At 40.8% G+C, this 26,917-nt stretch overlaps 1 long non-coding RNA gene across 1 annotated transcript; it reads right to left on the minus strand.

Annotated features, from left to right (window-relative positions):
• Window positions 1-10,832: 10,832 nt before the first annotated feature.
• Window positions 10,833-21,470, minus strand: LOC124904235 (uncharacterized). Its single transcript, XR_007066267.1, has 2 exons — window positions 14,484-21,470; window positions 10,833-11,220 (listed from the first exon to the last, which is right to left on the minus strand). It is a non-coding gene; the product is annotated as an uncharacterized LOC124904235 (long non-coding RNA).
• Between the last annotated feature and the right edge of the window lie 5,447 nt (window positions 21,471-26,917).

The following is a 26,917-nucleotide window of genomic DNA, read 5'->3' on the forward strand; positions in this document are numbered from 1 at the left end:
ATTACATGTCTCCGTAAAGTTAGCATAGTGGTTCAAGAGCATATTTACTCATCAATCACTCATTAGAAAGGAAATGGTAAGCCTCAGTATTCCCATTAATTGTGTCTTGTACTGATTCACCTAGTGGGCTACCAAGATGTCACTTACACCCATTATTTCTAAGAAGAGTTCAACCAGAGAAGCTTTAAAGATCTGATTTCAAAATAAAAAGAACATCTTTAAAAGAAAACTTGTTCAGAACCAATGCTTTGATTATAAATCCTGTTTAATGACTGACGAAAATATAAGAACTTCTACTTTTTTTCTCTAAATAAAAATTACACTCTCAAGAGGTTTTGTGGTTCTTTTCCTCAAAAAGATACGCATTGCACTATATGTACACATGAGGTATCATTTTCATTTCTAGCTTTGTACCATTCATGAAAAGATTTGTTTACCTCCTCCTCTTAGACTTTCTTGATTTTTTCCCCTTACTCACTCCCTCATATACATAACTTGTTTCTGAAAACACCAGGACATCCAGATGTAATTCATGATCCCGTTACATTAACCATGTGACATTAAAAATCCAGAAATCAAAATATAATTCACATCTATTTGGAATAACAATATAGGTAAATGTCACTTTGTAATTTCACTCCACTCAATTTTTAAAAAATTTTTTTAAATTCATTGAAGGTGCAGCTTGAGGCAACTTTCTTTGAATATAATTTCCTGCTTGTTTCTTCATTAGGATACTCCTGTTATTCAAAACAATGTTCGTAGGTTGAAGAACATGGATTTTGATTCATGAACATATTCATCATATGCCTGGAGGGTTCTAGACACAATTCTGCTTCTTCTTCCAGTTCTGTGCTGCTTTCTTCTACACTGCTAGGCTTTCTGTTTTCTTTTTTCTTTTACGTCTTCTTTTTTGTTTTGTTTTTTTGTTTGTTTGTTTGTTTTGTTTTCTTTTAGAGATAGGGTCTCTTTCATCCAGGCTGGAGTGCAATGAATGGCATGATCACAGATCACTGCAGCCTCAAACTCCTGGGCTCAGGTGATCCTCCCGCCTCAGCCTCTTGAGTAGCTGGAACTACAGGCATACACCACATGTCTGGCTATTTTTTTTTTTTTTTTTTGTAGCGACAGAGTCTCACTATGTTGCCCAGGCTGATCTCAAACTCCTGGCCTCAAGCAATCTTCCCACCTCAGCTCCCACCTCAGCATCCCAAAGTGCTGGGATCACAGGCGTGAGCCACGGTGCCTGGCCAACTTCCTGCCTGATGGGAAATCTTACTTAACCCTTCACCCTATTGAGTGCCCTTCAGCTATTACTTTAGGATTGGATCTTTGTGAGAAGCACCAAGGAGATGAACAAAACTCAGAGACACCGGCAGGAATCTCTGATGTCGCAGCTTCTCCTGCCATCTCTTCTCCAGAGAATGCTGAAGAATTGTGTTCAGTCATTTCAAGAGCAATGCCCTCAAAAGCTATCAAACATCCCCAGAGGACCATTCTTCAGTTCCACTGCTACTGTGCTTAGCACAGTATTTTTGAGGTGCTAACAGAAGGAAAAAAGGTAATTTACATTCTTTAAGGCTATTGACCAGAATCCGCCTCTTCTACCATTGCTTCCTGTTGCTCAATTTAAAGGGGGAAATGGCAACAAAAAGTAAACTGAATATGTAAAAGGCCTAGCACTTTGGGAGGCTGAGGCAGGCCGATCACTTGAGATCAGGAGTTCCAGACCAGCCTGGCCAACATGGTGAAACCCCATCTCTACTAAAAATATAAAAATTAGCCGGGAGTGGTGGTGTATGCCTATAATCCCAGCTACTCAGGAGGTTGAGACAGGAGAATCACTTGAACCCAGGAGGCGGAGGTTGCAGTGAGCCAAGTTCGCACCACTGCGCTCCAGCCTGGGTGACAGAGCGAGACTCTGTCTCAAATAAAACAAAACTGAATATGTAAAAATTGTATACTAGTGAAAGGATTACTAAGGGTCAAACCATGCCCCTTAGAAGAGGGTAAAGTTAACAGATATTGTGACAACTAGCAGATTTCCCAAAGCACAGAAGGAAAAGCTGAAGGTCTTCCTTAAGAAAATCTTCCAAGGGCTTCCAATGAAAGCAGAACTCCACTTCAGCACCATGGGCTGAGGGGCCTTCGGCATTCTCCATCTGGTCTGTCCCTCACACAGAGCCAGTCCTTGCTAGTTCCTGGCTGGCCATCAGAGCAGGCTCCACACGCATAAGGCACCACTACTATGCTAAGAAGTGTGCCCTACCCACGTGGGAATAGGTGCCCTCAGCTGGGCCAACCACACTACCTGGCCTCAGTGACTGGTCTGAGGGCCTGTGGCCTAAGCAAAAATCTTATTCTCATCTGGAATTTTGTTTTTTTTTTTCCAGACAGAGTCTCACTCTGGAGTACAGTGGTGCAATCTAGGCTCACTGCAATCTCCACCTCCCGGGTTCAAGCAATTCTCCTGCCTCCACCTCCTGAGTAGCTGGGACTACAGGCACGCACCACCGTGTCTGGCTAATTTTTTTGTATTTTTAGTAGAGGCAGGGTTTCACCATGTTGGCCAAGCTGGTCTCAAACTCCTGACCTCAGGTGATCTGCCCGCCTCAGCCTCCCAAAGTGTTGAGATTACAGGCGTGAGCCACAGTGCCTGGCTTTTTTTTTTTTTTCTTTTTTTAGACAGAGTCTCACTCTGTTGCCTAGGCTGGAGTGCAGTGGCACAATCTCAGTTCATTGCAACATCTGCCTCCCAGGTTCAAGCGATTATCCTGCCTCAGCCTCCCAGGTAGTTGGGATTACAGGCACCTGCCACCATGCCCAGCTAATAGAGATGGGGTTTCACCTGGAATTTTCTAGCTGAATCCAGGATACCCTTTCCTCCTGTGAGCTGTGATGCTAGAGGATTCAAGCCCAGTGTTGCCTAAGGCTAAGTGCCCTGATAGTGGAATGAGCCCACATGAAGGAGGAGAAAGTGAAGCAAACAGGGAGAGAGAATCGAAACTCATGGATGGAAAGAGCACTTTGAAAACTTTGATTATCTTTGTCCAGTTGTCCTCGAGAAAGCTCTCCCCTACTCATCTCATTGGTTATGGTTGGTTCCATAAACCAATTCGCTCCCCATTTTTATTCAAGTTTGTTCAAGTTAACTTTCTGAAACTCAGAACAAAAGAGTCTAGACTAATGTTTTCTACTTTTTATGCAAAAAAGCCACAATCTTAAGTTTTTGTGTGTAAGATCATGGGCTGATTTAATGCTGTTTTATTGAACTTTGCATTTGAAATGAAAATCTCACTATTTCCTTTTATCATTCTTAGTTGACGGTATATTATTCTTTGCCTATCTTTTTCTCATCATGAATATATAGTATCACACTTTACTACTGTAATAGAGAGAAAACGCGATTTTTGAAAGTAAAAATGCTCTATCTCTGTGATCCGAGTGGGGCTGAGGTGTGGGGACAAATCTCCATTTTGCCCTGTTCCTCCTGAAGGGGGAGGTGGGGACTGGGTCCTGAAGTTGGCAGCCCATTGTTTTTATTTTTTATTTTTTAATTTTTTGAGACAGAGTTTCGCTCTTGTTGCCCAGGCTGGAGTGCAATGGCTCAATCTCGGCTCACTGCAACCTCTGCCTCCCAGATTCAAGAGATTCTCCTGCCTCAGTCTCCCAAGTAGCTGGGTTACAGGCATGTGCCAACACACCCGTGGCAGCCCATGGTTTAGCATTGCCCTGTAAGGGTCTTCAGATGCACAAACGACTTGCAGTGCCTAAGTTTGGATGTCGGGCTGGAGAAAGCTGAACTGATCTGTATGCAAAGGGGACAGGAATTGGGGGCAAAGAGGCAAGAGAACAAAGGAAAAGATGGGAGGAGAAAGGAAGTCACAGGCATGCTCTGGGAGATGAGCCACATTGTCCTGTAACTGGAGCCACTTTTTCCTACCAGGGCACTTAACCTCAGGCAACACTGGGCTTGGATCCTTATAACATCTCAGCTCACAAGAGGAAAGAGTAACTTCTATCCAGGATTCAGTTAGACAATCCCAGATGATAATGGGATCCTGGCTTAGGCCACATGCCCACTCCCGCAGACCAGTCACTGAGGCCAGGTAGTGTGGTTGGCCCAGCTTAAGTCACCTGTTCCACAGGGCTGAGAAGAGCACACTTGTTAACATTGTCATGGTGCCACCGGCAGTGTGGAGCCTGCTCTGACAACCTTAAAGCTTTTTGAAAACAGGAAAGCCAAATAAATATTCCAGTTGATAAGTTATGTGCTGTCTGAAGAGGCAATATAACTAGAGCTACCATATAATTTATGACCCAAACCTGGACCCTTTGAGAGTAAAAGGTGATGCGATTAATAATAACATCATATATAAACCAGGGTTGTCCTAGGCAAGTTAGGCCTACAGTTGAATCAAGCGTTACCTTCTTATTACCTTCATATCCAGAGAAGTTGGCCACACACAGATGCCTTGTACAAGGTTTTCAGAGGGAAATTTTTTAAAAAAGAAAAGAAAAAAGAAGTCTGCTTCAGGTTTTCAATGGTGTGTGCTGAGCAGGAACAACTTTCACATGATTGCTACTCTCCAGCCACTGTGTAGCCCCAGCAGGGAGAGGACGGGGTGCAGGTCACGGTGCTGAGGAGAGAGGCTGGGTGGGGACATGCAGCTCTTGCTGTGCTGGGTTTGGAATCAGCCAATCACCCAAACCTCAGCCAACAAATCGGCTCCACCATGTTCTACTCTTGTTCTACTCTTGCTGCACTTAATTTCTCTCCATTCATTAGATAGATGTAGTCTCACCCAGAAAACATTAATTTTTTTTTTGAGATGGAGTTTCACTCTTGTTGCCTAGGCTGGAGCGCAGTGGCACGATCTCGGCTCACTGCAACCTCCGCCTCTTGGGTTCAAGCAATTCTCCTGCCTCAGCCTCCTGAGTAGCTGGGATTACAGGCTCACACCATCAAGCCCAGCTAATTTTGGTATTTTTTTTTTAGTAGACATGAGTTTCACCATGTTGGCCAGGCTGGTCTCTAACTCCTGACCTGAGGTGATCTGCCTGCCTCAGCCTCCCAAAATGGTAGGATTACAGGCATGAGCCACTGTGCCAGGCCCCTTTAATTTTGTTTTTTAAATGTACCCTGCCTGTATCCCAGCACTTTGGGATGCCAAGGTGGGAGAATTGCTGGAGCTCAGGAGTTTGAGACCAGCCTGGGCAATGCAGTGAGACACTATCCCTAAAAAAAAAAAAAAATTAAAATGTACCCAGATGCCTTTTTCCTTGTGGCATATCTGGCTAACTTCTATGGCTTCTCTCTTCACTTATCCAAGAAGGAAGAAGAAAATTTGATGATGTTGCCAAATGCAGGTCTACCCAGGTGTCCACACAGGGTCCAGTGTGTTAAAATGTGGCAAGAGCATCACTTACGGCTGATGGAGAACATACCTCTAAACTTTAGTCTGTCCAGAAGATACAAGGCAGAAAAAAGAAATTGGCTCATCCTCACTTTCAAGCATGTGTGACAGAGAGAATCAGGAGTTTCAATTCAGACAGACCCTAATTTGAATCCTAGCTTTGTCATTGACCACCAGCCTTGTAAATTAACCATCACAGTAATCACCCTACCTGAATCTGTTTCTTCATCTTTTTTCATTTTGATTGTTTTTAGCCACAGAGTCTTGCTCTGTCACCCAGGCTTGAGTGAAGTAGTACCATCATAGCTCACTGCAGCCTTGAACTCCAGGGCTCAAAGGATCCTCCCACCTCAGCCTCCAGTGTAGCTAGGTCTACAGGTTTACACCACCATGCCCAGCTAATTTTTTAAAATTTGTGGACAAATGGAGTTTCACTATGTTGTCCAGGCTGGTCTCAAACTCCTGGCCTCAAGATATTCTTCCTCCACTCTGTCACCCAGGCTGGAGCGCAGTGGCATGATCTCCACTCACCGCAACCTCCGCCTCCCGGGGCTCAAGCAATTCTCATGCCTCAGCTTCCCAAGTAGCTGGGACTACAGACGCCCACCACACCCAGATAATTTTTGTATTTTTAGTAGAGATGGGTTTCATCATGTTGGCCAGGCTGGTCTCAAACTCCTGTCCTCAAATGATCCACCCACCTTGCCCTCCCAAAATTCTGGGATTATAGGTGTAAGCCACTGTACTCAGCCTCATTTCTTCATTTTTTTTTTTTTTTTAAATTGAGATGGAGTCTTGCTGTGTCGCTCAGGCTGGAGTGCAGTAGCGCAGTCTCCGCTCACTCCAACCTCCGCCTCCCAGGTTCAAGCATTCCTCCTGCCTCAACCTCTTGAGTAGCTGGGATTACTGGCATGCACCACCACACCTGGCTAATTTTTGTTATTTTTGTAGAGACGGGGTTTTATCATGTTGCTCAGGCTGGTCTCAAACTCCTGGCCTCAAGTAATCCACCCACCTTGGCCTCCCAAAGTGCTGGGATTACCCAGACCAGTTTCTTCATCTTTAAAATGGGGTAATAGCACTTAACTCATAGGAATGTTATAAATGTTATATCAGTATATCAAACACCCACTGTGCCTTACCTCACATTCTCTTGGAACAACTTTTTTACTCCAACTACTGTGTAATAACCAACTTCATGAAATGTAATCTGACAGCCAGACAGCCAAATAATTTGGAAGGACCAGTGAAAAATAAAAATGCAAAGCCACTTGTTCCAAAAATTATTAAGAATATCAAGTCAATAATATGAGTGCATTAAACCAAACCCAGGCCTTGTGCAGCTGCACAGGTTACATGCCCTTGGCACAGGTACTGTTGACGGCTCCTCCCCTTTGCCCCAGCACTTCTCTGACACCATGGCTGTTATATATGTGCAATCTGGAAGCCTGGGCAAATTACGATCCATGGGGCAACGCTGGAGCAATAGAGGATGGGGGCCAGAAGATAAATGCCACCCTTCTGTGATACTCAGGTGGACAATTCTGAGATGCATTCTACATCCTGATGAGGAACCTGTGAATCAGCTCCCTCTCTTTCCCTTACCTGCCCACAAGTTCTTGTCTCAGACTCTGCTCTCAGGCTTAGACAAAGGCATACATTTGATAAAATACTTTGCATAGACCTGTCTTATCAAAGTTCTCCCTTTTTCTATCTGAGGTGCAAGAAACAGTGATCAATAAAAGAGATGTGAGAATTAAATTCTAACCATTATGAAGAAGAGGAAGAGGAAGAAGGAGAAGAAGAAGAAGAAGAAGAAGCAGCGGTGGCAGAGGAGGAGAATAAAAAGGAGGAAGAAGGAAGAAAGAAGAGGAAGAAGAAGGAAGAAGAAGAGGAGGAGGAGGAGGAGCAGAGAAAAAAAGGAAAGAAAAGAAAAAAGGAGAGAAGTTTGTACACATTTCACTCTTCCATGTCAGTTCACCCTTCTCCTCACCCACCCATCCTTCTCTGCCTCAACATCATATACTTATATTTTCTTTAAACCCTATCTGATCACCCCTTGCTACAAGATTCTACAAATTCCATTTATTGAAGTCTTATTTTTTTCTGACATTCATTTGACCTTGATCCTGTAACAATCTCACTAGAAAACAAAACATGATTGTGATTCAGGCTCTGAATGGGGAAGGAGAGCAAAATTCATGATTTTACCGATAAGGCAATACACTAATTTAAAGGAAGTAAAGTAAAGACCACTTTTAAAGTGGTCTCAAGGCCAGGCATGGTGGCTCACACCTGTAATCCTGTACTTTGGGAGGCTGAGGCGGGCAGATCACAAGGTCAGGAGATCGAGACCAACCTGGCCAACATGGTGAAACCCCGTCTCTACTAAAAAAAAAAAAAAAAAAAATACAAAAAATTAGCCAGACATGGTAGCACGCACCTGTAGGCCCAGCTACTCAGGAGGCTGAGGCAGGAGAATTGCTTGAACCCAGGAGGTGGAGGCTGCAGTTAGCTGAGATCGTGCCACTGCACTCCAACCTTGACAGCAGAGCAAGACTCTGTCTCCAAAAAAAGAAATTAATTAAATAAAATAAAATAATTAAGTGGTCTCAAGACACCAGTTTAAAAGAAAAAATGACAATTCTATTCTTGGCTAGCTAAAAATCACATTATGATAACTATTAAAAATGTATATATTTCACTTGCTTTATATGTTACAGTATTGTACTTTACTCTCTCAAAATAGTATCCTTTCTCTTGTCTCTTTTATTCATCAGCACAGCTATTCAATAACCTCTCTAAGGAACCATATAAGAACAGGAAAACAGTACCGAACAGTACAGTGACCTTGCCTGACCAGCTTGACTCACCCACCATGAGGGCTCTGCCACCTACTACCTGCCCACCATTCAGCAAATTTCATTAAAAGTTCAATAACCCAACAAGATCCAGACTGATTCTCTATCAGATTATTGGATTTTCCTATACTATTGGGTATTATACTATTAATACCACAAATACCAAAATATTTCTCAATTTTCATCATCGATTCTGGACGATAATATTTTGATATTTTATTATAAAAACATAATACACTGTAAATAGCCAGCACTGCAAAAGAGTATACTCTAGAAACCACTGACTACAATAGACTATCAATACATTAGTAAATCATACCTACAAATATTACAAACAGTATTCATATTAGTTTGATTTTTTCCAATGTACCTGCTAATACATTAGCAAATAATTCATTGCAAGAGATTAGAGTGCATAACATCCTCATTAAAAATATATTGATATAAACTTTTAAAAAACTATTGTATCTATAACTTAAGCCATGGTTTCTTTTTTCCACCAAAATTATATCAGAGTATTTAGACTAACTATAACTTAAATAAGTGTATTGGCACATTTTTTTATTCAACAAATATTTCTTGAAGTCTAGTTTGTACCTGGGGAAAAAATAATACATAAAAGAGAAATGGAGTCTAGCCCCTGGGAATTTATAGTCCAGAAAGGAAAAGAGACAAGTAAGCAGACAGTTAGAATACAATACAGAGCAATGCGTGTCATGATGGGGAAGTCTGTTCTGGCAGTGCTTAAGGAAGCCCTTAACCCATTCTTGAGAGGTCATGGAAGCTTCCAGAAGGAAGGGACAATTAATCTTGTAAAATTAACAATCTTGTAAAATTGAAGGGACAATTAACCTGTAAAATGAGGAGCAAGGGTTGACAAAACAAAAGGAGAATGGCACAGATGGTGAAGATTTATGGCAGGGAAACTGTACATTCCAAAGCCTAGAAGTAAGAAACAAGGTACATTCTTTGAGGTCCTGAAAGAGGTTTCCTATGGCCATATTATCCAAAGATTTAAAATGCTTTGTAGACTTCCATGTGAATAAAATTTACTTTATATAAATTAGCTTAAAACTTCCCTTCATGCTGTGGCTTCTTTACTGATGGGGTGGTTGCACCTTGGATGCACTGATGCCATTGCTGCACTGATGCATTGATGGCATTGGTGCATGGATACTATTGATGCCTTGAGACACTGATGCATAGAACCCATTTGTGCATTGATGCATTGCTGCCATTGATGCAGTCCCTCAGGGATCTTCAGCCATTTGTCAATAAGAGCAACTCTTTCCTTCCCTCTTTGACATCATAATCAGAATTGGTTAACTGATGTTATTTAGAGAAGTTCTGTGCTTTGGCCTATATAGACTATTTTTTTGTTGTTGTTTTGAAGCGGAGTCTCACACTGTGGCCAGGCTGTAGTGCAGTGGCATGATCTCGGCTCACTGCAACCTCTGCCTTCCCGGTTCAAGTGATTCTCCTGCCTCAGCCTCCTGAGTAGCTGGGATTACAGGCGCACGCCACACGCCCAGCTAATTTTTGTATTTTTAGTACAGACAGGGTTTCACCCTGTTGGCCAGGATGGTCTCGATCTCCTGATCTCATAATCTGCCCGACTTGGCCTCCCAAGGTGCTGGAATTACAGGTGTGAGCCACCACACCCGGTCGCCTATATAGACTGTTAACTATAGTTAATATGCCCTATTAACTAGAGCCAAATATACTACTTCAGGAACATAAGTCATCTAAATTTTAGAATTAGTCCATCCTGGGAAACATGGCAAAACCCAGTCCCTACAAAAAGTACAAAAATTACCCAAGCATGGCGGCATGTGCCTATAGTCCCAGCTACTCAGGAGGCTGAGGTGGGAGGATTGGTTGAGCCTAGGAGGTCGAGGTTGCAGGGAGCCATGACTGTGCCACTGCACTCCAGCCTGGATGACAGAGCAAGACCTGTCTTTTAAAAATGTAAATAAATAAATCAAGTTTTTGAGTTATTTATTTAGTGCCAAATTTATTTACTCCTGGGCATTTTCCCCTTCTTCTTCACTCATATGTTGTGGTATTTGTAGATAAGAGTTAGAATAATTTTTTTATCAATACCTCTTGGACAATAATGATAATTGATCTTTTGTCTCAATGTTGTATATTACAGATAACACTGTAATACCAAATTTAATTTCTTCCTCGTATATGCTTTTATTATTTTCCATTTCTGTGGTATGATCAGAAAATCTTGTTGCTCTCATTCTGTCAGTTTACCATGGAAATCCATGACCACAGAGGACTTGAAGAGGTAAACAGCTGAACATTAGGACTCTCTAGATTATTTTCAAATAAGGAAGTATTTTTGCTGAAACCTAAACCACTCAGATCTATACACTACAAAAGGATGCATTTTCAATTTTTATTTTATTTAACCTCTTTAGTTCTAGTCCTGTGGGGAGAGTAATGCCTACCTCACATGCCTAACAAATGAAGATTGCCTAGTGTTAGTAAGTGGGAGGTCCCTTTTTGAGTTAGATGGTAAGGATATAACACAGAACAAAGCCAAAACCAAATATGCTCATTTTTATTGAAACAATATAAATTCCCAAAACTAAATGCAAATGTGGATATTTAAGAAATTAGCAGTTTCCAAGGGGGAAGGAGTTTATTTTTCCAGGTAGCTGCAGATTTCTCAGCCCTACTGTGTTTTCATTTATTAAAACACAACTGAAGGTTTCTCCTGACATGGATTCACAGCAGCTTGGATCAGAAACGCATCATACTGTAGTGTGTTGTTAGAAGGACTTACTTCTGAGGATTCCACAACTCCTCAGATGTAGTCAAGGAAGATCCTTCACCTCAACATATATAAATATTCAAAACTGAGTTGCTGCGATCACTCACAATAGTGAGCAGCATGTCCTAGCCCAGTACCGAGCACTTAGTGGGAGTAGCTGGAAAAAAAAAAAAGTGTTAAGTTCATTCATTTATGAAGAATTTCCCAAACACTGATAAAGAAAAGACCAATAAACTAGTAGAAAAATGGTGAAATATATTGACATACAGTTCACAGAAAAGGAAAGACAAAATTGCTCTGGAGCATGTGAAATGATATTTAAAATTACTCAACATAAGAGAAGTGCAATTTAAGGCCAGGCACGGTGGCTCACACCTGTAATCCCAGCACTTTGGGAGGCGAGGCGAGCGGATCACCTGAGGTCAGTAGTTCAAGACCAGCCTGGCCAACATGGTGAAACCCCATCTCTACTAAAAATACAAAATTAGCTGGGCATGGTAGTAGGGCCTGTAGTCGCAGCTACTCGGGAGGCTGAGGCAGGAGAATTGCTTGAACCCAGGAGGCAGAGGTTGCAGTGAGTTGAGACTGTGCCACTGCACTCCAGCCTAGGCAACAAGAGCAAAACTCAGTCTCAAAAAAAAAAAAAAAGAGCAATTTAAAACAACACTCAGTCATCATTTTTCAATTTTTGAAAAACGTTGCTAGGTAACGTTTAATAACACTCTGTTGGTAAGAATATGGGAAAATAAGCAATATCATATATTATTGGCAGGAATGTAAGTTGATTCAACCTTTCTGAAGTACAGTTCTGCAATATATATCAGATAATCTACTCATAAACACAGAAAATTCCTTTTCTAGGAATTTATATAGATATATTCAAACAAGTACAAAACAATACACGTACAAGATATGCACTGCAGCATTACTTGCTATAGCAAAAGACTGGAAACAACCTACAAGTCTATCAATAGGTGACTGGCTAAATAAATTATGATATATCCACTCAATGAAATATCCTACAGCTGGCAGGGTGCTGTGGCTCATGCCTGTAGTCCCAGCACTTTGGGAGGCCGAGCTGTGCAGGAGTTTGAGACCAGCCCGGCCAACATGGCAAAACCCCATCTCTACTAAAAAAATACAAAGAATTAACTGGGCATGGTGGCAGGTACCTGTAATCCCACCTACTCGGGAGGCTGAGGCAGGAGAATTGCTTGAACCCAGGAGGCGGAGGTTGCAGTGAGCCGAGATCGTGCCATTGCACTCCGGCCTAGGCACCAAAAGCAAAACTGTCAAAAAAGAAAAGAAGGAAATATCCTACAGCCATTAAAATTAATGAGGATTTTTTTTGTAACAATATAAAATAATTTCAAATATTAAGTTAAAAAAACACAAAGTACAAAACCATGTGAAGAGTATGTTACCATTTGTATGAAAAAACTGTCTGCTTACGTATTTGTTGGCATATGCATAAAGCAGTTCTGCAAGCGTTTTTACAAAACTCATAGCATTGTTTCCTTACAAAGAGAGAAGACTGCTTGGCTGATGAATGGGATGGAAGGGAAATTTATAAGCCTTATGGTAATTTTGAATCATGTGAATATATTTCATATGCAAGAAATAAATTTAAAAATTGAAAATAAAATAACACTTGGCTGAGCATCAAGAACTCTGATTACTGATTCTGTCTCAGCCTCTGTGATCTTAAATCACTACATTTCTCTGTGGCTCATTTTTTCCCTTCAAAAAATAAGAAAGTTAGACTGGCAAATCTCTCTGTTTCCCTCTAATTTTAAAGTTTGAGTTAGGCATATGTAAGAAATCATGGCTTCAGGGAAAAAAATAGAATAATACTTTTACAATTTGTACATATAAAGCTTAATGGTGGCTCTGGCCCGTGCAATTGTGATTCTATTTCTTCATAGTTGTGTAGCAAAAGCCTGGATTCAATGCAAGCAGGTCTACCACTCCTTCTTACAAACACATGACATCAACATGGTCTTTATGAAAACTGGAGGTGTCTATGCAGAGCCTCTGTAACCACTGTAACCACGTGCCAAGCAAGCAGGTACTTGTAATTCTCCACCTCAGGACTCCTGAAGACAAGTAGTTCTCACTCTTTAACACAGTCCACTTAAGGAAAGCCAAAGACCCCAAGACCTTCTCATCCCACCCATTCTCGCTGTGGTAAGAATCTGCTTCACTCAATACAGAAACATGCTAGTTTATATCTGCGCATACACACAACTTAGTGGTTTAGAAGTTGCCACACACAGCTAAAAATCTACTTTGGATGAAAAGCAGGGCCAAGAATACGGTTGTTGCAAATATGCAATGCTCTACGCTGTAGTTAACCAAACAACTCATAACACTAACTTAAAATTACAAAGCAAAAGAGCAGCAACTTCAAATAATACCATACTCAAAAAACCAGGGATGATTTAGGGATAAGAATTTCTCTTTGATATTGTGGGAATTGCATTTGTCTACATGTGAACAAGGGCAATGAGAGTTTTGCAAACTTGCCAACAACTACATGATAGCCAGATGCTTTAGCCAAAAGATACTGAATTAGAGTCCCTAGTTACCTGCTAATTTTCATTTATGAAACCAAATTTTAGTCAACTTTAATAACTCATTCAAAAGATTATTGGAACTAGTTCTTACTTACAATCTAAAAATGAGAGTCTGTGGAACGTGTAATTTGCCTCCATATCCCTCATTTGTAAGAGAATATTTATTCCTACATTTTAAGGATCAAATGATCAAACAGGTTGTAATAATATTTTTAAAACTGCAATGGGATTGATATATTTTGTAAATGTAAATCATTATCAGTATTTATTATCATTATTAAATCCTGAGGTGACTCTGGCTATAATAGTCATGCAGCATTGAGCTGCTATGGATAATAACTGTTGAGTTGTTAAAGATTTTGAAGGATTCTGGTAAGATTGAGCAATTTTGACAAATGTTAATTTTTTTTTTTTTTCACATAATGAGACTGGGTTTCACCATGTTGGCCAGGCTGGTCTCAAACGCCTGACCTCAGGTGATCCGCCAGCCTCCATCTCCCAAAGTGCTGGGATTATGGACATAAGCCACCGCACCTGGCTGACAAATGCTAATATTTAATTGAGTTATTGAAATTAAAGTTATTCCTAAACATTGTTTAGAAATTTATAATTGGGAATGAGCCAATAGATTATTATATAATATGCATATATTTGATTAATATAGACAAATTTCCTAACAAGTATGTTTTGCCAGTGCACCCAATCTCTAGTTTCTAATAAGCAACTGTTGAGGAAGTGAAATGTACCAAATTTTTACACTCACCATTTGGGAAATATGCCCTGGAGATATTTAATAACACACTCTGCTTTTTTGCAATCATTATGTTAGTATATACAAACTTACCTTCAGGATCCGTTTTAATTACAAATGTGTCATGCATAAAACATGTGGAATCATTTCAATATGTTCATTATCCTCTGCTTCATTCTTCAATTTACAAGGCAACTTTAATTGTAGTATATTCATCAACTCTTCTTTAGTCTTAAGATTTCCACAGATATTAGTTCAGCTTAAATTTATAGAAAATAGTCCTCTGGCAGGTTGCTCCTGATTGGGTTCCACATGAGAGGACAGTATTAATCAATGTAGTGGAAAACACGTAAGCACCAAAACCATATTAAATCTAGGCTCCATCCCGTAGGGCCCTGATTATGGAAATAGATTCACATATTTTAGTGTTAATGTTTGCAACCACAATTCTTTCTCAAATGAAACCCGAAGCAGTCATGCAGATTAGCACTGGTCTAACATTTTAAAACTTGGCTTTTAATCGAACTTCAGAGGAAATGATTGCAGCCTCACTGCGTACTTATTCTCCCTACTTCGCCAGGGTAACATGAAGCTTAATTAGTCCTCTGTTGAGGCTATTTGCTCCTCTGAAGTTTAAGTTTCTATGAAGGTTGAATCATTAAATAATTGCAGTGGAAACATTTTTTTAAATTCTTTCCCCAAATCAAAAGTAATTTGAGAAAGCCCAAGGTACCTGACATTGTAGGGATTGAAATGTAATTAGTTGGTAGATATACTAGAATTGATTTGAGACAGTGGACCAGAAGTTGATGCTCAGAGGAGGAATCAAAATAAAAAGCCACAGTGAATGAAAGCAAAGAGGCAAACATATAAAGAAAGCTAGAGAATTTCAGGAGAAAAAAAAAAACAGTAAGAAGTCATTAGAAGTGGATGGCATTGTTAAACATCGAGGGCAACTTAGGTGATTTTTTAATAAGGGATAGGTGCCCTGAGGAGAAAGGGCCTAATTGAACCAGCATTCAAGTGGCTGAAAGGAAAGCGATTTTGACCAGCCACCAAAAAGTTGATTTAGACCCAGACAAAAAAAAGAGGAGGGGAGCTTTCTTTCCCAGTAAGTATAAGGATAGAGAAATATCTCTATCCTTATGCTAGAAGAGATATCTCTATCCTTATGCTAGAAGAAATATCTCTATCCTTATGCTAGAAGAAATATCTCTATCCTTATGCTAGAAGAACTATCTCTATCCTTATACTAGAACAATTGTTTTGTACCTTTTTGGCACCAGGACACATGTGGTAAATAATGTTTCCATTAGACACACCCTTAGAAGCACAAAAAAACTAGGATATTAGACAGGTGCAATTGTTCACCACATTTCATTTCTTTCTCTTCCACTCTAGAATTGTCACATGTGACTGTGCCATCTGTGTGGGATAGGCACTCTAATGGATCGGAAAAGTCAATCATTAATTACTCGTAATGATTGAGACACCTCCAGTTGCTACCATTCCCGAGCAGAGGTAAGATAAACTAGAAAGGGCAACTGGAAATGCCTAGGGAAGGCCAGAGTGTCTGACTACTTGTCAATAAGCTCATGAGAGCCCCCAGGTTAAAATAATTAGCCATTCCCCAAAGGCTCTGTGGATCTGAGCCCTGTCACTCACTAACAATCCTCTAGACCAACGGCCAAGATTTCTCTATGAGCTCGCACAACCTTCTACTATATCAGAAGAAACTGGGATAAACAAAATTCAATCCAAATTTTTAAAACTATAACCTACATATTTTAAGTTTTGGAAATCTAGTCAAATAATGTCAGCTCACCCCTCAATATATAACTTTCTAAACAATGTTCTAAAAAAGGTAGATTGTGAAAACAAAACAAGGGAACTTGCTTCTGATTTGAGTCTTGTCAAAATATGAAACTAAAAACCCACCACAGGGAATTGAAGCCTATAGAGAAAGTCCAAAAAGTCTTTATCATTTCACATCTTCTAGGAAGCTTATTTTGTACATATCTCTTATCTGAGATACAGTACTTATTGTCATTACCATTCAGACTGACATTCAATCACATACTTCCTGTAAGTTTATTTAATTTTTCTGTTATGTCTTCTCTCTCCAATTAGACTATAAATTCCAGATGATCAGGATTGTATTCCTCTCAGCCTGAAGGCCATGTTGGGCACAAAGAAGGCGTGCTGGGTGTTTGATTGTTTGTGACCAGGTCCCACTGTGTTGCCCAGGCTGGAGTGCAGTGGCGTGATCATAGCTCACTGCAGCCTCAAGCTCCTAGGCTTCAGTGATCCTCCTGCCCAGCCTCCTGAGTAGCTGGGACTATAGGCACACACCACCACACACCTGGCTAATTTTTTAATTTTTTTGTAGAAAGGGGTTCTTCATATGTTGCCAAGGCTAATTTTTACCTTCTGGCCTCAAGCAATCTTCCCACCTGGGCCTCCCAGAGTGCTGGGATTATAGGCATGAGCCATTGCACCCTGCCAGCCTGCTGTTAAATGCTTGTATGATGAATTAAGTACATTTAATTAATTTCTACATTTCTCTATTGTTTTCTTTCTAGCCATCATTTTCTGTGGATTTATTTAAATGCCATTGCAATTAGAGTAAAACAAAACAAATATGTGTATGTGTATATATAATACCTAAAGGCAACTGGTAGCTGTCATAAACTGGGAATTAAGAAAAAATGTATCTGCCTTTGGCAGGGTACAGTGGCTCATGTCTGTAATCCCAGCACTTTGGGAGGCCAAGGCAGTACATCACTTGAGGCAAGAGTGCAAGACCAGCCTGGCCAACATGGTGAAACCCCATCTCTACTAAAAATAAAAAAATTAGCTGGGCGTGGTGGTACCTGTAATCCCAGCTACTGGGGAGGCTGAGGCACGAGAATCACTTGAGCCTCTGTGGCAGAATATTGCAGTGAGCCTACATGGTGCCACTGCACTAGAGCCTGGGTGACAGTGAGACTCCGTTTCAAAAAACAAACAAACAAACAAACAAATATATATATATATTTATCTGTCTTTAATCAGATACATCATCAAAAACTGAATATACTTTTAACCTTGGACAGAAACTGCTTTTAATATGGAAATGTTGGTGAACTCTTAGGGAAAATAGACTAAAATGTACATCTGAATCTAAGGAACATTTTTGTCCACAGATTAAACACATAATTACATCAGTTGAGTTTATTTTAGTATCGTTCTAATGGTTTTCTTTTGCATCAGTTTTATTACTGAAAGTTATATTCTCTTTACTTCTAGTGTCACTTTTTTTAAATAAAGCTCTTATCAAGATAAATCTCAGAAAATACAAATCTAAGCAAGACAATTTAGAGTAACTTAGTTTATAGAGACTTGCATTTATAGCCACATTATTACGTTAAGAAATAAAGGTCTGGCGTGCTCAATCACATGTTCCTGGCCAGTTTTGCAGAAATTAATGTCAACCTAGAAAACAACATGAAAGCCAGCAACTTAGTTTCTAATGTTATGCTCACTACAGGGAACATTACATTGAGCAAAAGAGGCCAACAGATGCCATGTGTGAGTAACCTGAACTCCTCAAAGGAAAGAGGAAAAATATTATGTTAGATCAGTGGTTCTCAACCCTTGTTGAAAGTAGAAACCTGAGAAGCTTCAAAAAAAAAAACAACAAAAAACCATTGCTTGTCTCCCATCCCCAGACATTCTGTTTACTTTGTCTGGGAGAGTCACAGGCATTGCCGGGACAATGGTGCACACTTATAATTCCAGCTACTCAGGAGGCTGAAACAGGAGGATCCCTTGAGCCCAAGAGTTGAAGATCAGCCTGGGCAACATATTGGGACATCTCTCTCAAAAAAAAAAAAAAAAAAAAAAATTATTAGATGCATGTAATGTACAGCCAGAGTTGAGAACGGTTAGGCTAAATGATATAAAATTACAAATAAGCTTTCTAAAAAGACACTTAGGCTTTCCCTTTTTATACTTCCAGTGCTAATTCAGGCAAAGTCTGAGCTACTCTTTAGTACAGCCCTCTTTATGTAGACTTAAAAGTTAACACATACATATACACAAGCCTCTAGGTTTCCCATGAAAACCATCTGTCAAAATAATACTAGCTAGAAGCAACATGTCAAAAACTACAATTATAAAGAATCTTAATTCTTTGATTCTATTGGATTTCCGTGGACTTTTTTGATCTCAAGTGATAAAAGCTAAATCATTCTAGTTGGAGTGAAAAAGTGGAGGAATGGATTTAATCAGCGAATAACTAGAAAGAACCAGAATAGATCTCACATCAAGCACAATAGATCCAGGACCCAAATAATGTCACCAAGACTTGGTTTCTTACTCTCATACTCCCTTGCACTAGTCCTTATCTCTGCTTCCCTCTAGACATAGATGTCATTCTTTCTGTCATGAGTACCCTACTCCGTGAGTTCCTACTCCAAGTGGTAGGAACCCCAGGTTCACATCTTTACAGCACCCTAACCTGAAAGGCAAAATACGGCCTTTCCTGCTCCTTCAGGAGAAAAGTCCCAGATAATGCCTCTGCTGGCTCCAAATTGGATCACAAGTCCATACTAAAAATCTCAAAAATATTACCTGCCTATAATATATCACTCAAAAATTACGTTGAGTTTTAAAACGTTAATAGGAGGGCTGGGCGCGGTGGCTCACACCTGTAATCCCAACACTTTAGGAGGCCAAGGCGGGTGGATCACTTGAGGTCAGGAGTTCAAGACCAGCCTAGCCAATATGGCAAAACTCTCTCTCTATCAAAAATACAAAAATTAGCCAGGCGTGGCGGCACATGCCTGTAATCCCAGCAACTCTGGAGGCTGAGGCATGAGAATTGCTTGAACCCAGGAGGCAGAGGTTGCAGTGAGCCGAGATCACACCACTGCACTCCAGACTGGGCAACAGGGCAAGACTCTGTCTCAAAAAATAAAAATAAAAATAAAAACAAAAAATAAAATAAAATGTTAATAGGCATGAACATAGAAAAGAAGCAAAGAGAGTAAAACACCAATTTGGAGAATTCTATATTTGTCTAGAACAAAATTCACCTAACAGGAAATACAGTAGTTGAATCACAGAAATAGTCAAAGGTCATATCAAGGTCAGACTTTTATTTAAAAGGATGAATTTTATTTTTATTCTGAGACCTAAGGGAGCCACAAAAGGATTTCAGGGAAAGAATGAGATGATCAGATTTGTTTTAGGAAGATTACTTTGGCATGTGGGAATAGATTGAAGAGAATGCATTTTAAAAATAGAAATAAGTCAGAAGGATATTACAGTTAACCACATGAAAAGAAATCTAAACTTGTACTAAGGCAATGGTTAAGACAAATAAAGACAAGAAATGGATTCGAGATTTTTAAGGATGTGGTATCTACAGTAACTAGATTGGGTATTAGATGCCCAGAAAGGAAGAGGAGTCAGAATGACTCACTGATTCCTGGCTTGGGAAACTTGGAGGATAGTCATGCTGTTAACTAAGAATTCAGGAATAGAGGCAGGTTTGGAATGGATAGATGGTAAATTCAGTTTAACATTAAATTAAAGTTGTCTATAGGATTAAAATGGAGGCCAACTCATAACTGTAAAGCCAACTATAAGATCAACTTTAATTATAAAGTCAAATGTTAGACGATTAAGGCATAAATATGTTAAAGTCACACTCAGGACAAAGATAGAACCAGAATGGGGAGCTAGATGACATTCCTAATGAACGTGGAAGAGATAATAAATAACCCCAACTACAATGGTATAAAGGACATTCTAGCCAGATGGCATGAGCCTCCAGAAAGATCTAACATGAGGAGGAAACAAAGGTTTTGAAATAGCAGTAAGGATAAAAGGAACGCTGACCTCACCCCTGCCCAGATGTGGTCATGGAGATTGGAGAGCAGCAGCAGTCACTTGGCCGGAATGCAAAGCAGGTGGGAGACCACTGGGTATCAGCAAGGGCAAATAGGTGCACTATGAAGTCTTCTGTTTTGACTCTCCAGCATCCAAACCCCCTTTCTACTGTGGGGGAAATCCCAGAGGAGGTGGGGGCAGGGCACACTTTTGGGAAGCCTTACAAAGAAGGCACTAGCATGTGACTTAGGTTCTGCCATCTCCATGTCCCGCTCTGGACCTTGAGACAGTCATGTAAGGGCACAGTGAACTTGAGAAATTTTTCACAGCACAAGCAGCAGTTCAAATGACGGTCCCATGACTCATCAGGACATGAGGTATATTGTAACATTAAACATGCCATACCCAATATTGTTCAGGCTTCAGTAGGGCAGGAAAGGACTTCCAATACTCACTTCTGCCCTAAAAGCACCACTTCCTGTCATGTGATGTAGTCTATTGTCTGTTCTCATGTGACAATTTGGGGGAAGTTGGGGGAAGACAATTTGAAAACAGAGGTTAGTAGAATTTTTAATAGTACAGTGTCATGGTAATTTTTAACCCTAAAATTTTTACATACATTTTATTATTAAACTACAGAACACAGATAGCCAAGGGCTCAGTGGTGGCAGTGACAGAGGTGGTGACCCAGCAGCAGGCCCCACAACAAACTGACCCTGTGCCAGGCCCAGGCCATGATTCCAGCTGCAGCTGCGCAGCCTCACTCATCTCCTGCCCATCTTCTGACCCCGATGCTCAAGCCTTCTCATTATTGGGTTTCTTTGCAATCAATTCCTTTTATGTTTAAGTTAACCAAAGTTGGTTTCTGTTGTTTTCAACTGAGAACTCTAATAGCTACAGGTGAAAAGCACTTCCAGAGGAGGAACGGAGGGTGCTGTATGCTGGAGTCCCTGGCTGTTTTAAGAACCCCAACATTGTAGTATTTGGAGTCTCACAGAGTTTCTGAACATAAAAAGAAAGAAAAAAATGATCTGATAAAATGAAAATGTAAGTATGTGTATGTCAGAATATACCATAACTAAAACTGAAAGGCAAACTCTATTTTTTATTATTAATATTTTTTAAAGAGTATGTAAGAAAATGTCAGGGTGTCACAGGGCATTTCAAAATTAGGAATATCTTCTTTCTTTTTTTTTTTTTTTTTTTTTGAGATGGACTCTCGCTCTACCACCCAGGCTGGAGTGCAGTGGCACGATCTCGGCTCATGGCAGCCTCCACCTCCCGGGTTCGAGCAATTCTCCTGCCTCAACCTCCCGAGTAGCTGGGACTACAGGTGCAGGCTACCACACCCTGTTAACTTTTGTATTTTAGTAGAGGCGGGGTTTCACCATGTTGGCAGGCTGGTCTCCAACTCCTGACCTCAGGTGATGCGCCCACCTCGGCCTCCCAAAGTGTTGGGATTACAGGCATGAGCCATCGTGCCCGGTCCTGGAATATCTTCTTTCTCTGGCCACAATTTTGTGTCAGTTGTTTTGCTGCCAGTGAAACAGAAATTATATATAAGTGATCAAATTTGTCCAAAGACTTGACTCTTTTTATTTCCTACCAAATGCAGGGCCTAGTAGTTTTGCCTGCACATTTCCTACACTTCCACCTGAAAGGTGAGATTCTACCACCATCTACATGTCCCTGGATTTGAGAGGCAGCGACACTCCCTCAGCAGTGAGTTTCTTGGGTGAGTGATAGAGGGACAGTGCTTGACCTTGACAATTAAGCATCTGTATGTGTGACCAGACGGTCTTATGCAGGCAGGACAGAGGTGGAAGTAGGAGTAGGGAGAGGAGAGTGTCCCCATCCCTTTAGCTGTTTCACTCAGCCAAGAAGTTATGATTCCAACTGTGTACCTAATTGTAATTTTGTCCTACCTTACGTGGGCTACTGAAGGAAACATATATAAAGCAAATAATCATGATTATGAAATGTAAGAGCTTTTAGCAGGACATGAGTAGAACTTCCACATTTTCTCATGTTCCCATCTGTGGGAAGCGGCACAAAGGACCACATCTGCATCACATAAGCACTGCAGGTCACAATCATCTCTAGGCATCTGATCTGCTTTCCATGAGAAGGAAAAATTGTTTCCTGAGTGTCCGGTCCCACGGAGCAGATTTTCTCAAGGTCTTCTCCCCCATCTATATATAATCATTTTGCCTCTGCATCTGGCACCTCGCATCTTGGACTCAGCTTCACTCCCAGCAGCAGTAAACTTACATATGACTAATTATGAGAATTAATACATCGAACTCTCATGAGCTTGGTTTTGAACCTGTGGAATCCTTAGCCAGGATGAGCATCCCTGTTAATCTGGAGAATGCCTGCATGTAGGAAGTCCAAAGCACACAGCAGAAGGCCTGGCAAAAAAGACAATGAAGGGGATGGCTTGAGAAGGGGTTGTAGGCCTAAAGCCTTGCTGAAATAGCCTCGCCAGAAAGGACAGAGGCCTACAGAGACTGACAGTTCAGGGGTGTGGAAGATGACAGGGCTAAGAGACAAAGTGAGATTAAATAGTCACAGCTCCGGCTGGAACGCATTCCAGGTGACTGTGCTGACACAGAGGAAAGTGTCGAGAGTTTCCCGAAACAGGTTGGCCTTTGTTAGTGCAGTCCAGGAAGAACTCTCCAAACTGCAGAGGACTGTCTGGGCTCTGAAGAGAACACTGGCTTAAAGTTTTATGCTTCAGCAAAATACAGCTGTTAGTGGACTGGGTTGCCAGGGAAGGGTGAGGCCTCTATCAGAATGGAAGTAACCAACTTCCAGTGACCTTTTAAGGAGGCAGAGCAGATAGCATGGCCATGCTATCTGTCCTCACACTCAAACTCACACGACTCCCGTTGCCCTTTTATCTTTTACATTTAAGTTTTCTATCATTTTGTTACTATTCTATACTCTGTAATCCAGCAATTATAAATTGTAAACCCAGGAGGCCAAAGACCATGTCTGTCTTGCTCCAGACTACATCCCCTTGGACTACGTGCTAAGTAGATATATTTAAAATATTTGCTGAACTACTGAATAAACTAGATTGTTGACCCAAGTGCCAAATACTTTATCATCATATCTTCCCCTCTATCAAGATGTACTGAAAAGCTCAAGAGAAAACTTCTAAAATATTCTTATGTCATATTTTGGTCCTTTTTCTTGGGTATGTGCAAAACAATTATGTCATAGATTAAAAATTTAAAGTGGGCCAGGCGCGGTGGCTCACACCTGTAATCCCAGCACTTTGGGAGGCTGAGGCAGGCGGATCACGAGGTCAGGAATTCAAGACCAGCCTGACCAATATGGTGAAACCCCATCTCTATTAAAAATACAAAAATTAGCCGGGCGTGGTGGCACGCACCTCTAGTCCCAGCTACTCAGGAGGCTGAGTCAGGAGAATCGCTTGAACCCAGGAGGCGGAGGTTGCAGTGAGTCGAGATCGCGCCACTGCACTCCAGCCTGGGTGACAAAGCAAGACTCCGTCTCAAAAAAAAAAAAAATTAAAGTGAACTCTAACAATTGAAATTACAAGTAGAATACTGAGAATATTGTAAAAACAAAGTCTATCGATACGCAAAATCCCCTGGGTCTCAGTGAGGTGGAGACAAGCTTCAGATATGCATTGTAGCCCTGTGGGCACTACGTTTTCTATCATGTGAATGCACTCTTCACTATATTTGGGCAGGCATGGGATGGTATATGACTATCAGAACAATAGCAGTTGTATAATTTTTAACAAAATTGTCTTGATAGAGTTTGAGATCAGCCTGGGTAACATGGTGAGACCCAGTCTCTACAAAAATACAAAAATTAGCCATGTGTGGTGTGTGGTGGCATGCACCTGTAGCCCCAGCTACTTAGGAGACTGAGAGGTGGGAGGGTTGCTTAAGCCTGGGAGGTTGAGGCTGCAGTGAGCCATAATCACCCCCAATGCACTCCCACTTGAGCAACAGAGCAAGACCCTGTCTCAAAAAAAAAAAAAAGATTGTCTTGATATTTATAGGAGAAAGTTTTCTAAAACATTTATTTCCACAGGTATTCCATCATTAAACTATGGAACACTGAAAAAAAAAATGACATGAAAAGCTTGAATGATATAAGAAATTCAGTAAAATCCTAATTGAAATATATTTTGCATAATAGCAATTCTTACCAATATATGTCTTTTATAAAATGCTTATGAATACTTTAGAGAATCAGGGCACAGATTTGTAGTCCTTAAACACTCCAGAAAATAATTATTTCTATGTGCAAAAGAATTGACAATGTTCTCTTAGTATTATGAGTTGTACCGCTTTAGCAACTCTAAATTATTTGAAAACCATACATTTACAACTGAGCTAATATTATAGAATAGTTTGTGGGGTTATTAAAATCATATTTTTTGAGATGGAGTCGCACTCTGTCGCCAGGCTGGAGTGCAGTGGCACGATCTTGGCTCACTCCAACCTCTTCCTCCTGGGTTCAAGCGATTCTCCTGCCTCAGCCTCCCGAGTAGCTGGGACTACAGGCATGCGCCACCACATCTGGCTAATTTTTGTATTTTTAGTAGAGACGGGGTTTCACCATGTTGGCCAAGATGGTCTCGATCTCCTGACCTCATGATCCACCCGCCTTGGCCTCCAAAAGTGCTGGGATTACAGGCGTGAGCCACCGCGCCCGGCCAACTGTCTTCCAATCTTTCTATTCCACTGACATGGCTGTTTCTTAGGAAAGCTATAAATATTATTGCAATATTACATCTTCTTAAATATTTCTACAGGTCTGAAACCTCTATTAATCCCCACCTTCTAGAAAACTCTTACTTCCATTTGGGAAAAAGGAGAAGAGGGTTTGAGACCTGACTATCACTGTGGGTAAAACAGTAGACAAGTCACTTAACCTCTCCGGGCCTCATTTGTAAAAGAGGGATGTATAATAATGTAAATAATGTCTGCCCCACAGAGTTGTGAGGACAAATAAGACACTGCATGTAGCAGTCCTTTGTAAACTGCACTTTACAGACACACTAATGCATTATATCTGGGAACTAAAATTTCCACTCACTCCACCAAAAACCTCCCTTCCCTACATTAACCTTCAACTTTAATACAAACATTTCCAATCCAGTATTAACCACATCTTTCTCAAGTTCCTACCATGCATGAAGCATGGTGCTGGGAGCTAAAGATCCAAAAGGGAAGAGTCAGGGAGGAGGCTGAAAACTGCATGAGCTCAGCTGTCCCATTGTGTGTAACAGAATAGAACAACCTTGAGACATGTTGTGTACAAGCATAATCAAAATACTTGACTTTTTTTAACTTGAGAGTTTTTTTCTCTTTATGTTCTTTTACTTAATAACTTTCAGAAATTTCAAGAGAGCAAAAATATATTTTCTGAAATTAAAAGCTTTTAGAGTATCAAGCTTACAATAGAACATTGTGTCCTCAGAGACAATAAACCATCTGTCCTATCAATATGTTTAAAATCCTAGTGATATAATGCCAAATATAGTATATTTCCGAGTCTTAACAAATGGAAAGGTTGACAGAATCTCAAGGCCCTTATTCCTCCACGGACTGCCCAACTCCATCATAGATCCAAGAGTGGGTTTCAGAACCTCGTCTATTATAAGCTTGGACAGATCAAGTGTAAATGCAGAGACCACTTTGTCTAGAGTTAGGCTTGGGCTGGACTGTCCATGTGTCCTCTGGGCCCTGCCATATTGCCTGCTGGGCTTTCCAAGGCACCCTCCCAAGTGAAAGAAGAGGTAGCCCTGGGCCCTTCTTTCCAGCCATTGGAGAGAAGAGACAAGAGGGGAATAGAAAGAAAGGGAAGGAAAAGAAAGGAGAAAGGAAGAGATCCAAAAGTAAATGGCCACCCCCAAAAAGTAACATGTGAAGAAAAGCACTTTCAGCCTCTTCATACTTCCCTCTGAAACTTTCCCCTTTATGCCAAGCTCCACCCCATGGTCTAGATATATGGACCTGAGGACTTCATTCTAGATCAACCTTCTTTTCTCTAGGAGGGAGGGAGGGGCAAGTATGAGTTCAGCTGGGCTTTTCCTCCCGTGCCTTCCACCATGAGAAAGTCATGTCCTATTCAAGGCTGTTCCTCTGGCCTGAGACACTGAATGAGAAGATGTGCATAGTGTCTGAATCTGACCTGTGATCTGAAGCAGAACCATGCCAGCCAACCCGCAACTACAAACATACAGAGTGAGAAATAAATCATGTTAATGTAAACCACTGAGATTTTGAAGTGGTTTACTGTTACGCAGTGTAACCCAGCAAACACTACCTAATTAATCTCCCCAAATAAGTCATGCAACTGTGTTTGCCCCATTACTCCTCAGCTGACACAATCGAGTCAATAACTTAATTGTAGCCTCTTCTGGCTTTCCATCTCCCAAAATCTTTTTAATGTCCCATAAAACCCTTGTGATTTGGACACCATTACCCAACCCTCCCTTACTCAGCTTTAGCTCTCTGGCTTCCTTGCTCTGTCTCAAACCTACCAGATTTACTCCCCACCCAGAACCTTTGCATCTGTTGTTCCCAATGCCTGGCACGCTCTCTTTCTAGATATCTAGTGTCTTGCTGTCTCACCTCCTTCCAGTCTTGCTCAGGAGA

Source organism: Homo sapiens, chromosome 18 (assembly GCF_000001405.40).
Source record: "Homo sapiens chromosome 18, GRCh38.p14 Primary Assembly".
NCBI classification, from domain to species: Eukaryota; Metazoa; Chordata; class Mammalia; order Primates; family Hominidae; genus Homo; species Homo sapiens.